General features: G+C 33.0%; 1 protein-coding gene across 20 annotated transcripts in view; it reads right to left on the reverse strand.

The window, feature by feature from the left end:
- The window catches only part of CDH18 (cadherin 18), a 1104418-nt gene that overhangs the window by 132669 nt on the left and 956800 nt on the right, over window positions 1-14949 (reverse strand). For all 20 annotated transcript variants that reach the window (XM_005248228.5, NM_001349562.2, NM_001349556.2 and 17 more), the window contains one exon: window positions 8470-8637. In XM_005248228.5, the coding sequence (XP_005248285.1) occupies window positions 8470-8637 (168 nt within the window). The remainder of the gene's footprint in view (window positions 1-8469; window positions 8638-14949) is intronic.

Raw genomic sequence — 14949 nt, forward strand, 5'->3', positions numbered from 1 at the left:
ACAGATCTCACTGTGTAACAGCTTTGTATCTGGATGCACCATAGTTTTGTATGCCACATGTGATCTTTTCACATAATTTCTTAGACTGCATCATAATATACTACTGATTATGGAAAATACACTTAAGGAAGGAAGACATGGTGGGAATAATAAAAGGGCATTTGTCTCACTGAGGCTTGTCCCTTTTAATATACTTTCTTTTCCTCCAGGACAGCACTGATTCTAGTTGCTTTTTAAAAGACCTTGTGTCTTTACTACAGTAATTTTGTCATTTACTTGAATAAGTCATTCCCTATGATTACCCCAAGGCCCTATCTTACAAAAGCTGTAATAAATTTAATCATTACATTTGTTAGAACTATTTACTATTTTATAGTATTTACTTGAGAAAGTGAGATGCTTCTCAGGGAAAACTGACTGACATGTGAGAGGTTAGAAACTATGATGTCTGACTTACAGAGTTTGCCTGTCTTTCCTGATAAAATTAACCAGACAGTTTTTATAATCTCCACTTTAAATGTTTATGCAAATACAGTTTATGCTGAGAATGCTAATTTCAAATTAAAACACACACACACACACACACACACACACACACACACACACACACACAAAGTATTCTGAGATTTTCCTGCATTTAAGAGACTTAAGCTGAATATTGATTATTAAGCATTGTGGTTGGCTCTACGTGCAATGTTTTTTAAAACATAAATAAAGTAAATTTAAGTACTACTGCCATTTGAATGCCATAAATAAAAAGGGCAATTTTCCTCTATCAGAATCTTTACTGTTCTAAGAAATATCTTTAAAATCGTTTAACCCAATACATTCTGTTTCTATGTGTCAACATGCACTATAGGAAAGCTGATTATTCTATAGAAAGTTTTTTTTTTCTCTCAAGTATTATAGTGGAACACTTTCTTTGTTTTCTCTCACTCTTAATCATAAATAACACATAAATGCTTGAAGAAAGACTATTAGAAATTTTAATTGAAATTCAGTCCACTTTTTAAGTATTCTTTGAAGGTGTGCAAATTGATTTGTAATGCCTAACTATAAGAATCAAATTATTTCCAAGAAATATATGCTTATTACCATAAACATACCTACCTAAACAAAATATTATGTAAAGGAAAAGGAATTATTCTGTAACTTTATTATAGTACACAACCACATAGATTAAAAACAAACCGTAATACAATTGAAATGTCATGACTAGTACGTTTCTAAACAGAGAGCTCCATATAATTTCAAAATATTCAATTCTAAAATCAGAAGAATGTAATACTATTATTTATTTATAGCTGTTACTTTGTTAGAAAGAATATGATCTACAGGTGTATGTGTCTTATTATAATAAATACATAATAATTTTCAATTATCTTTATAAACTAAATATCATGATGTAAGATAAAAATATTGTGTTTCTATGAAGGCTAAATGAAAATAAAATAATAATATTACTCATTTAAAGTTAATTTAATAATTTCATCTTTATTTTAGAGTTCATCCTTTCAATTTAGCCACATAGAATACAAATTGATAGAGAATACATCTAATTATCTTCCATAATCTTTCTATTTAAACTTAAGTGGAATGATCTTTCAAATCTGGATATGATGGAGGGGTATATCTAACTCTGTCATATAAAACAACTCTAAAAGATGCATAGTATATAGAAAATGACTGTTTTAAGGCATTGAAGGCAATTAATGTAGGGAACTCAGGATGGAGTATGATTCTTGAGAGAAAGAAACCATAACAAAACAAATTTTATATGCACATATACTGAGGGTATTTAAAAATATGTAGTGCTGGTTGAAAGAGTCCAAGCAAAAATTGTGTAGCTTTTGGAGACAGGTTGGAGTTCAGAGCTGGCACAGGGGCTGAGAAATTGAGGACAAAAGCACAGAGAAGAAGAAACCTCAGGTAAGTGAGGAAAAAAACAAATGCAATTTTTCTTGTGGTAATTGTAGACACATCCACTACTTTGACACTTGTAGAGGCTCTGAGAAACCAACAGAAAGTGCATCTGGAAGGCAAAGGCGCTAGGCAGAGATTTCAGCAGCCATGAGTTACTGGAGAGTCAGAAATTGGTAAACACTTGAGACCAGTGGAGAGTAAGTAAAGAAAGATCCGGATTCCAGGAATAAGAGCTACTTCCCGGAAGTAAGGAGAGCAATAAAATAAGCTAGTGCTAACAGAATCCAACTGATTTAAGTAATCCACACTGTATATGTCTGCAAGAAATAACTTGCCCCTCTTTGAAAGATTGCACAATCATGAACCTCTGCAACTCCTTTATGTAATGTTCAATCAGTAATTCAAAGTCATGATTAAAAATGAGCATTGGCTAAAACTAAGAAGGAAAAAATGTAAAAAATGACCCAGGCATGATTATGATATTAGAATTCTACAAAAAGTTTTGAAATAAGTATGGTTAATATGTTTATGGTTAATATGTTTAAATAAAGAAAAGGGTGGGGAATTTCAACAGATACCAATAATCTTTATCTACTAAACCAAATAAAAATTTTAGAACAAAAATGTCAATGCTGAAGTGTGTACTTAATATATTTAATAGATGGGTTTAATTGCTGAACAAACAGCAGAAGAAAGGATTGGTGTACTAGAATATAGGTTAATATAAAATATCCAGGTTAAAGAAGACTGTAGAAGACTGTAGAATAATAATTATTATACAGCAAAGACAGTAATAGATGAATGTTATATAACTGAAAGACCTAGCTGACATACTTTGTAGAACTAATAGAAAAGAAGTGAGAAAATGAGGTCGAAGAAATACTTGAAAAAATTCTAACCAAGAGTTTCTCAAAACTAATAAAAGATAGCTTAAAAAATCTTTACAACCATTAGTCAGATTTTTAAAAAGTAAATACCTAGGTGCATTGTAGGTTAAATTTTTGAAAACAAAATATAACAAAGAATATCTTAATAGAAGAAAGGTCCAATAAACTACAGTAAACTATTGTACAGTAAAGGAATTCTACAGTTGATTTTTCAATGAACAAAATGGTAAACAGCAAATTATATTAATAATTATTGAAATGGAGAAAATCCTTCAAACTAAAATTCTATTCTGATTGGAAATACCTTCTGCAAATAAAGGCAAAATTGTAAATTTATATAGAAAAGCTGAGAAAATTCATTGGCAGTTTTCTGTCACTAAAAATGGGAAAATAATATTTTAAGAAATTTACAATTCCCTTTAGAAAACAATAATTCTAGAAGGAAACACAGAAATTCAAGGAGAAATAAATAGTACCAGGAAGGGTAAATTATTACTGTCTTAAAAAATAATGATTTGCTATTTAACACAACAGCAACAATGACAATTTCATATAGGACTGAATATATAAGATGACAAAAATAGAAAAAACAACAACAAAGGGTTAATGACATTAAACAGTTTTAAAGTCATTCTATTTTCAAGCAATGAAATTATAATTTAAGGTAGAGTGAAATAAATAATAATATCTACAGTATTTTTTAAATAGAAAAAAGTATAAAAATGTAAAATTTTTAAAAAGTGAATGGAGGACAAAATGAATGAAATTAAATAATTCAAAGAATATGAGAGAGGGGAAAAAAGGAGAAGAAAAGATTAGCCAAATAGCAAATGATATACCTAAATGAAACTATATCAGTAATTAAGATACTTATAAGTGTAGTAAATCAACAAAAGCAAGAGAAATTATAATGTCATTTTAAACTAAACAACAACAAAAATATTAGCTAAGTGGTCACAAGAAACATTTATAAATTAAGAATAAAAAATTAAGAACAATAAAGTTTGAAAGTACAATTATAGAAAACATTATACCACACAAACCATAACCAAAAAGAAATGAAGAAAAAAAAGAAACCTCTGGAATAGCTATAGGAGACAAATTAGACTTTAAGGTATGGAGTATTATTAGAACTATAGACATATATTTCACAATAAAACAATTTTAATCAAGAGAAAGATATCAAAGCCTTCGATCTGTGTGCATCCAATAGCATGGTTTAAAACTGCATCTAAGAAAAATTAAACAGAGGAAAAAAGAGAAATGGAAACATCTAGTATCATCTTGGAAGACTTTAACATCTCTCTCAATAACAGACGAGCAAAAATTCTATAAGGATATAGAAAATTGGAATGGTACAAGGAATAAACTTGAATGAAATTTACATATGTAGAATACTAAACATGCAGCTGCAGAATTTATCTTATTTCAAAGTGAGTAGGAACAGTTATCAAAATCAAATATATACTGTCATTTTAAAGAAATGCTCAAAACGTTTCAAAATATATGCCTACAACTATAATAAAATGACCCAGATATCATTTTCAAAAGACACTAGAAAGACCTCAATTCTTTGATAATTAAAAAAAATCCTGCATATTTTGATGGGTCAAGGGAGAAGCTTTGTTTTCTTTTTCTTTTAATTTGTTTCAAACAAAATTTTAATGATGAAAATATTATATAAATTCATATTTGTACCCATAACAATGAAAATAATAAAAACAACAGCTCCCCCCCCAAAAAAAATCAATGCCAATATCTTCAGCAATATTTTCTTTCTCATTAACTTTAGAAATTACCCAAACCAGTTAAACAATTGTGATGTTTACTAACTTTATGGGAAATACTGCCATCTATTGAATTTTTAGAGCTTGATCCTCCAATATTACATGGCACTAAACCAACTGCAGTCACAAGTGAGTTTACGTTCTTGGCAATTTACTATCATTTAAGTTCTGGAGAAAGTTATGTTAGATTAAGCTAACATAATGATAGCAAATTTCCAAAAACTGAAGCTCACTTGTGGCTGCAGTTGGTGCAATGTAATATTGGAGGATCAAGCCCTAAAGGTTGATTCATTGTGATTATTTGGCATGTGTTATGCTTCTTTCTGTTACTAGATGACTTATCTTACAAGAGCAATCCTCAATACAACAATATAATTCCTTCCATTTAGGATATAGAAGGTTTGTTTTGTAAACTTTCATGTAAGGTATTGAATTTTATATGCATATGGTTTGTGCAGAATAAATAAATGTCAGTGACTTTTTAACCTATCCAAGAATAAGTTATGCAACAACCATAACCCAGAATAAAGTTTTTAAAAACTAGAATAGGAAATGGCAGAATAAAATAGATTACCTTTAATGAAAGAACACACACTAGGGAATTTTATATCTTTAGATGGATGATTTTCTCTAGAAGGAGAAGTACACATCGTTTGTGTACTTTGAGTAGAATTTCAAGCCATAGATGGGCTGATTTGTTTTCTTTCACTATGAGTCCTTTTGTTTTGCTTTGTTTTGTTTGAGTGGCTCCTTTTCCAACACCATGTAGCCCAGAGGTAGGCATCAATTTGAATTAAATAGTAGCTACCCTTGTAGTTGGGCATGCATTATCCAGTCTCTATGCTCCTTTTTCACATTCCTGATACTGACAAGCAGCCTGTTTCCTCCAAGACATTTATCTGACTTGTATCCTAAGCTACTGAGTTTGTAACTCTCTAGAGTAGAGACATTGTAAAGCAAATTACTAGCTCTAATTTACTACCTCTCTAACACTTACTCAAAGCCTATTTACTTCAAGATAAAGGGATAACTAATTACCATGCAATATAACTAGCCTACTCACTTTCTCAAGCATGGTAGATTAAGCATGGAGGAAAAAACACTTTGAGAGAATATTTTTGCAAAATTTGTAGTTAGGGATGTTTATTCAAGTGTCAATTGTAAGAAATATAACTGTCTCAGACAGGTGATGAGAGAAAGAAGTAGAAAGGGCAACTGTAAAAACCTCACATTAAGAGAAACAATTCAACTACTGGATCCATTTGATGACAGGATATGAACTTTATAGAATTTGAGCTGTGTATAGACTTGCGCATGTCATGGTATTTTGTGAATACAAGTCCTTATATTATTTCTTTTCTCCAAGCAGTTTACAATACTTCCCCACTAGGTACATAGCTGTTTAATAAGCTGCAATTTATGGATAAATTAAAGAGCACTTTACTACAAGCTACTTTTGTCATGGTGACACCAAACTGTTGCAAAAGCAGAATTGTTTTGTTCAAATGGAGTGCGAAATAAAGTATCTTTTAAGAAACCCCAAGTGTAAACTTCTGATTGTGTAGTGCCTCCTTTTCAAAACTCTAAGAACACCTTGAAATGCAGCAGGATTTACATCTGTCAGTCATTCTGCCAGAATGTTACTGACTGAAGAAACATAGAATTCATTAGACACAATGAGTTAACTCAGAGAGTATACACTTATTCTGTTTTGTCAGGTAAAGTGATTATTTTCACTGTACACTGATGCTTCAACAATGACACTATTATTGATCAACATAATAAAATTAGGAACAAATATCTCTTTATTATATATCTATATTCATCTATATGAATAATATTCCTTATATCCATCACAATTAAAATTTTCTGTACATCTGCAAAGTCAATCTTAATAAACCTGTAATTTTAATAATTATTTTAGGAAGAAATGGAGAAAAAGAGAGAGTGGGAGATGCTATATTTACTACAAACTAGCATTTACTGAATCCTATGATTTACAACCTGAGTTTTCTGTCTATTAAGGCTACAATATGAATGTACATCTTTAAAATAGTGGTGGTAGAATCTATTTGAAAACAAGATAGGCAAGTTGGTATCCTAAATTATAATAAAGAGTATATTCTGTTGAGTCTGAATTATCGCTTATTATCTTTATCTTCAACTTCAATTGTACCAATCTATGAAATAATAACATTTACCTCATGTATATGCACATTGTTGAACTAAGTGATAACATTGATACAAAAGTTCATCCTAATCTGCAAAATGGTTTAAAATTTAATTATATTTTATGGCTCAATAAAATATGGACTTACCTATGATATATACTTTCTTCATAGAGCAAACGCCACATGAATGCACCAGGTAACATTATCTTATCTCTGGCATCAACATTTTAAAATGATTTTTATTTAACTATGACTATGATTTGCATGTATTTAATAATAATCTTTTAATAATGATGGTTTGACAGAGTATTTAAATTCAACTAATTTACTCACTAAGAATCATTTATCAAATGCTGGGCCCTCACTGGGCTGAACACCTAAGTTCGCAAAACAATTAAGCGTCTTCCTAGAGGATCTCATAAGTGGAAGGGGATCTATGTACCTGCAGAAATTAGTATAACATGAACAAGCACGCAAAAGTGCTGTGCAAGGGGATCTATGTACCTGCAGAAATTAGTATAACATGAACAAGCATGCAAAAGTGCTGTGCAAGAGGGAAAATTAGTATAACACGAACAAGCATGCAAAAGTGCTGTGCAAGAGGGAAAAAAGAGTGAGTAATTCTGCAACAGGAATTAATTGCAAAACTGTTCTAATTCTGCAACAGGAACTTCAGAGAAACTTGTAGCAGGGATTTTAACAAAGGGCCGTGAATAAGGAAAAATTTTAGTTGAAGTAAGGACGTACAAAGTGTTATTATATTTTAGGAGGAGGCAGTATTCCACAGTGTCTAGGCCTGAGGTGTACTGCAAATGCTATTAAGAGACAAGAGATAAAGTTGAGAAAGGCATTTCGCGCTGATTTGAGAAGAGCCTGTATGACGTACCAAAGGATCTAATTTATGACAGTTTTTAGACATCATTTGTAAGAGGAACATAAGAGACAACTCCTCTGTAGGATATTTGTGATTATTAGTGACTGTCGTATAAAATGTTATCTATAGTATCTTCCATTTTTAAAAACTCAAATATATTATAATTATATCCTTTACATTCAGAACATGTCATAAACACCATCTCCCTCCAAACCCACAGGATTCATATTTCTCCTCTCCCCCCAAAATTGCCTACTGAATTATGCTTTCTGTTTTCAAGTCTTATATTTTACTCTGAGACCTCATCTTATCATATTAACTTCAACTTGCTTTTGGATGATGCGTGTGTGTGTGTGTGTGTGTGTGTGTGTGTGTGTGTGCATACATGCATGCATTTGTATACAGCATTTATTCATAACATGAAGAATTTTTTTAAAAAATTCAGTCACAGAATGTATGGAATAATGTTGCATGAAAAGAATGTTCACATCAAAATACCTTTTCAACATCTCCATGAATACTTTAAGAATATACAGATACTTCGCCAAAGGCAAGATGCCATTTTTTAGTACCACCACATCATTTTTAATATTTAACTTGATGCCAAATGAAACTCCAACTCTGAACACATTCCCAATTATTTCCTAGGTTCAGAAGACAATAGCTGGAGTGATTTCATGAGTCTTACATGAAGAAGGGTGATCATATAGTACAAAAACAGAACAATTCCACTTAAGAAAACAGTAACATAACACTGTTCAAGTATTTCATTTTACTTTACATAAAGAGATAATGATAAATTCAAATCATGGAAAACAAATACGTACTTTGAGGAAAGCGTGGTGGGTTGTCATTGACATCGGTTAAGGTGATGTTGACTGTTGTAGATCCTGAAAGCCCTCCAACTTGCCCAGCCATGTCTTTGGCTTGAATGACTACGGAGTAATGTTCTCTGGCTTCTCTGTCCATGTTATGTAAGGCCGTTCTAATAACTCCTGTAATAGATATATTTTAATAAACAGTATGAGCTATATAATAAGCAAGTATCAACAAACATACACATACATATTTTAAGAAATGTCTTTTAAAATAGCATATTTTTGGGATAAAGTCACACGTCTGAGAAAAACAATATCTTACCAATGCATGAATACTGTCTCTTTGAAAAATTTACTTATCCCATGCCCCAAACATCCTATTAAGTAAATTAAGATGTCTATCTCTCTGCATTCCTTAAAGTAGATGGTCCCTCGGCCGGATGCGGTGGCTCACGCCTGTAATCCCAGCACTTTGGGAGGCCAAGGCGGGTGGATCACAAGGTCAGGAGTTTGAGACCAGCTTGACCAGTATGGTGAAACCCCGTCTCTACTAAAAATTAAAAAAAAAAAAATTGGCTGGGCGTGGTGGCGCATGCCTGTAATCCCAGCTACTCATGAGGCTAGGCAGGAGAATCGCTTGAACCCAGAAGACGGAGGTTGCAGTGAGCGGAGATCACGCCACTGCACTCCAGCCTGGGCGACAGAGTGAGACTCCAACTAAAAAAATAATAATAATAATAAGTACATGGTCCCTCAAGGGTAGTCCTGCCACCCTATTCCTAGTGCTAGTGTGCTGAACATTTTACAATTTGAGCTCCTCAGAAGTTTCAACTAAGGTGGTCATATTGATTTAAGCAGAGGCTAATTTTCATCTTTATAGAACAATTTACATAGCTTCCTGGCAGAGTTATCAATGTTTAATGATGGAAAACATTTGAGGAGTTTGGACACTTAAACAGAGATTATAGGCAGGAGGCATATTAACACGTATCAAAGACTAAGAAACTCACTATTTTTGTTAGAAAACAACTTTAAGGAGAACTAGATCTAAGTATTTAGGCAAAATAAAGAAACTGATAAGGTTTATTCTATAAATCATCTGTAAAAAATCACATTTTTTATCTTAGTAGTGCAAAGAGGGACGTTTAACATTTTTGCATGATGAACCCTTGGATTGAATAAAGAAATGAAAAATATTAAATACCCATCTGTGATTACGCATACATAAACACCCACCTCTACATACATAAATTTAATAGCTCTGTTAATAGAGTCTTACGTTTTAAAGTTAAAAACGCATATTCTGGAGGATAAAGTTTACTCAGGGTATATTAACTATGCCATAACATAGAATATTGTCCTCATGTCCATGAGATAGATTATAAACATGTGTATAAATATCTGTATATCTATGTGTATATATGTATTTATATGTCCATCTATATATGCATATAATTATAAAATATAAACATATTTGATCCTTCAAACATAAGTCATTTTTTCATAAATGTATTTTCATTAAAAATATTTGAAGCATGTCATCTTTAATAAATACACCAATGACTTTCAATCAAACTCGCACTTGATTAGTTACAGTACAATTCTTAAGAAGTTGTCAATTATAACTGTTACCTATAGGCTTTACCAAATACTTTTACAGACAATATCTTAATTTATGAGAAGGAGTTATATATTTATGTTAAAAATAGCCTTTAAAAGCAGAAAGGAGTATTCAATGACTTGTTTTGTCATATTTTGAATATAAAAAAGTAAATCACTATTTTCTTTTTTTTCTGAATTGATTGGCTAAGTAATAATGACTTTGAGAGGAGAGCCTCAGGTATCAGAAAAGAAGATCCCATAACTTTCACATATTGTGAACATATAATTGAGGGAATTCAGAAAAATTTTCCTGAAGCTAAATAGAAATGAAAATTATTCTTATCAAAATAAATTATAATAATATTATAATAAATGATTCATCTAACTCATGCATATGAAAAAGCCTCAAGCACCCTTATTAAAAAAACAATGTTTTATCTTACGATAATTACATTAGTAGGAATTGAATTGATACAGAAATGAACAAGCAAAGAACTTATGAAAGAAATTTATATTTTCTACCACTTGAAAAAAGTAAAGCTGTCTTTCCTAAGGAGAATTAATTATAAATAGGACTTGTCTTTGGTGGGGAGAAATATGAGATTATTATCAAAGATAAAGGTTTACAATAAAATCATTAGTGAGTTTTGCAAAATAGATATGTAAAGGTAAAACTAAGTATTATGAAGTGAATGACACATATCTACAACCACTTCCAGGATGAAATGGGAAGAAATTTGCCAGCCAAATTTGCTCATGGATAGAAAAGACCATATCCAAAACGGACACATACTTCTCTGAAAGGATTGTCTCGGGATTAATTTAAAATCACAACTCTTGGCTGGGCGCGGCGGCTCAGGCCTATAATCCCAGCACTTTGAGAGGCCTAGGCAGGCAGATCACGAGGTCAGAAGATTCAGACCATCCTGGCTAACATGGTGAAACCCCGTCTCTACTAAAAATACAAAAAATTAGCTGGGCGTGGTGGCACGAGCCTGTAGTCCCAGCTACTCAGGAGGCTGAGACAAGAGAATTGCTTGAACTTAGGAGGTGGAGGTTGCAGTGAGCCAAGATTGCGCCACTACACTCCAGCCCGGTGACAGAGGGAGACTCCATCTCAAAAAAGAAAAAAAAAAAAAATCATAACGCTCTCTTCAGGATGGCCCAGCTGCATGTGCTTAGCTATGACCCCTCCTAGAGACATATAGATAATCAGAAAGTGTTACAGCCAAATTGCCATAGCAACATGATTTCAGTAAAAGATGATCACTTTCTAACCTGGAACCCAGACGCATTTTCTGGGATCACTTAAAGTACAACTGATACACAGTAACTTCTTATTTCTCCTTTTAAATAGACTATATTTAGAGCAATTTTAGGTCCTTTCACTGTAAAATTGAGCAGAAAGTACAAAGAATTCCCATATACCCTTTACTTCCTCCATGAGCACAGCCTCCCCACTAACAGTATTCCATACCAGAATGGTACATTTGATACTATTGATGAGCCTACATTGACACATCATTACTCTCCGAAGTCCAGATTTTACAACAGGGTTCACACTTGGTGTTGTATATGGTATGGGTTTTGACAACTATGGCAACATTAAACTACTTCATAGTATCAAAAAGAATAGTTTCACTGCTCTAAAAATTGTCTCTTCTCTATCCCTCCCCTCCCTCAACCCCTGGCAACCACGAATCTTTTTACTGTCTCCATAGTTTTGCCTATTTCAAATGTTATGCAATTGGAATCATACAGTTAGCCTTTCAGATTGATTTCTTTTACTTAGTCATATGCATTTAAGATTTCTTCATGTCTTTTCACAGTGTGGTAGCTCATTTCCTTTTAACTCTGACTAATATTCCATTATCTGCATGGACCACAATTTATTTATTTACTCACTTACTGAAGGGCATCTACTTGCTTCCAAGTTTCAGTGATTAGAAAGAAAACTGCATAAACATCTACATATGGGTTTTTGTATAAACACAAATTTTCAACTCATTTGGGTAAACACAAATAAGTGTGGTTTCTGGATTGTATAATGAATTTATCTGAAATTGTGAACAGTGTTGAAATAAGTTAGGGGAAAATGGCAAACATTTATATCTTACCAATATTGTGATAAAAAATTTTTAAATTAAATTCAAGAGTAATTCACAGCCTACGTTCCATTCTCACAATGCTTAGCATAATAGCTGTCTTTTTTTTAACCGAATAAAATATATATTATGAGTAAACACACGCCTACATCCTCACCACACAGATACATACATTGATTCCCCCCCACCCAAATTTTATGCACGAAGCTACATTTGAACATAGTGAAAACATCAAGCAGAATGATCGTTTTAATTAAAAAAATTGGTTAAATGTGAAGCTATACAGGCAAAATGATCATATGCAATGATTTTCTCAGGAAATTTTCAGATTACCTTGTCCTAGCTTAACTATTGCAATGCTCCTTTTCATTTTAAACAGTGTGGCAGTTTGGATGATCAATTATTTTGTCATTCTAACTTTTAGAATATTGTTATTGGTTTTCAAACTTGTGTTTACAATTATCCTGAAGTTTCCTCAATGATCAAATTGCTCATATTTCAGTCCCCAGAAATTTTGATTTAGTAATCTGAAGTGGGACTGGCTTACACACATCTCCAACAGACTATTGCGTTAATCTCTTCAGGCTGCCAGAACAAAATACCATAGGCTGGGTGGTTTTAAAAACAGAGATTTATTTCTCACACTTCCAGAAGCTAGAAAGTCCAAGATCGAGGTACCAGATGATTTTATTCCTGGTGAGGTGTCTCTTCCTGGTTTGCAGATGGCCACCGTCTTACCATGTCCTCACATGGGCTTTCTTCTTTGCAAGCACTGAGAGGAGGATGGGGAATCTCCTTTTTTAAATTTTTTTGAGCCACTATTTTCATCATGAAATGACCTAATCTAAGCCTAACTACATTCCAAAGGCCTCATCTCCAAATACCATCATATTTGGGGTTAGGAATTCAACTTATGAACTCTAGGGAGGTCGGACACAAATATTCAGTTTGATTTGTGTGCAAGTGGTTCAAGACCATATGTTGCTGAATAGGCAACAATTAAAAAGGCAAAGTCCTGCCATTATGTTTCCATGCATTTCTTCACATTTTATCTTCATCATGTCATGCCAACAAATGTATATGTATAGGGATCAAATAGGCACATAATATACAAAATGATGTGCATTTTTCTCAATTGTAAAAGGTAAGCCAATGGATAAAGATAGAATAAACTATATAGACATAGTCCAAGTAAGAAAGTATGTTTTATTTGTTTGGTTGGCCATTTCTGTCATGTATCCATGTATCCAGTATTTGCAAAATAATTTACCCTTGTCTTTGATAAAATCTTACTAAGGGAACACTGTGTAGCCTTTCCATTTAGTACATTTTTAAAGCCAAAAATACAGAGCAGCAAAATTAATTTCCATAAATTACTGCATTGTGCATTTGTTTAAAAATAAAATGCTTCTCTTTTCAATACATCCTAGGTAAATGGTTACGGCATATTCTAAATGTTTGTTGGAAAGGCTTCACTGGCAATGTTTACTTCAAAAATTTTAACTTGAATTGTTGCCTCTTATTCTCTTGTGATGCTGGGTTGAATCAACAAGATGTGATTACCTGTGTATCATTTTGTTTTGTTTCTTATTACTTCCCTGGTAAACAATTGTAGGTGCCCGATTGCCTGCAAATTACCTCTGACTACTGTTTTCCAATCACCTTGATATGTAGGGGCTTGTAATTGGGAATTACTCTCTGCTGTACACAAGTTCATAACATTGAAAATGCATCTGTGATTATAAACATTACTTGTTGAGCTTGAGTCACTAGCCTACCATATGTTTATGCCTCCTGACTAATAATATTCATATAGCAGTAGATCCTCCAAAATGTTTTCTTGCATTTTTACCCACTAAAAAGAATCCAAGATGAAAATGTTGTACACATTTTGTTTATTAGATAATACCACAGAAGACTGCAAAATAAAAATGCCTAACGGGCTAGAACAAATAAACAAGCCTGCACATTTAAATTCTTACAAAAACCTCCAAGGTAGACACACATATTTATGAGAGAAAGTGGTAAGGTTCCTTCTATGTCTAAACTACACATGTGTACTTCTGCTTATTTTTCTTTCTTTTTTTTTTTTGAGACAGAGCCTCACTCTGTCACCCAGACTGGAGTGCAGAGGTGCGATATCTGCTCACTGCAACCTCTGCCTCTCGGGTTCAAGTGATTCCCCTGCGTTCGCTTCCTGAGTAGCTGGGACTACAGGCATGCACCACCATGCCCAGCTATTTTTTGTACTTTTAGTAGAATTGGGGTTTCACCATGTTGGCCAGGCTGGTCTTGAACACCTGGCCTCAAATGATCCACCCACTTTGGCCTCCCGAAGTGCTGGGATTACAGGCACGAGCCACCGTGCCTGGCCTACTTTTGGTTCTTTTTCTTAATTTGTTCAGTTTTTCATTTATTCATTTAACATCTATTATTTTACAGAAAATGGGTAGGACTCCCAGTGTTTCTCCAATGGGACATGTGGACCACTTAATAACTAAATCATGTAAAGTGCTCATTATCGTGCAAATCTACTCACATCTTCGACCTACTGAATTAGAATCCAGGGCAGTGGGTCCCAGGCATAAGTTTTGTGACAAGTTGCCCCAGAGATTCTTGTGAATGTACAAATTTGAAATATCTATCTATTTACCCACATATGGTACCTGGCCTTAAGGTTCTCATATTTCATTGGAGGATCTGCTTATGCAAATTAATATGAGTACTAAGAGATTTCGATATATGTAAAAGTTTCATTAACCATTTTCTAAATGAAGGCACT

The sequence above is a fragment of the Homo sapiens genome, chromosome 5, assembly GCF_000001405.40.
Source record: "Homo sapiens chromosome 5, GRCh38.p14 Primary Assembly".
In the NCBI taxonomy this organism is placed as follows: domain Eukaryota; kingdom Metazoa; phylum Chordata; class Mammalia; order Primates; family Hominidae; genus Homo; species Homo sapiens.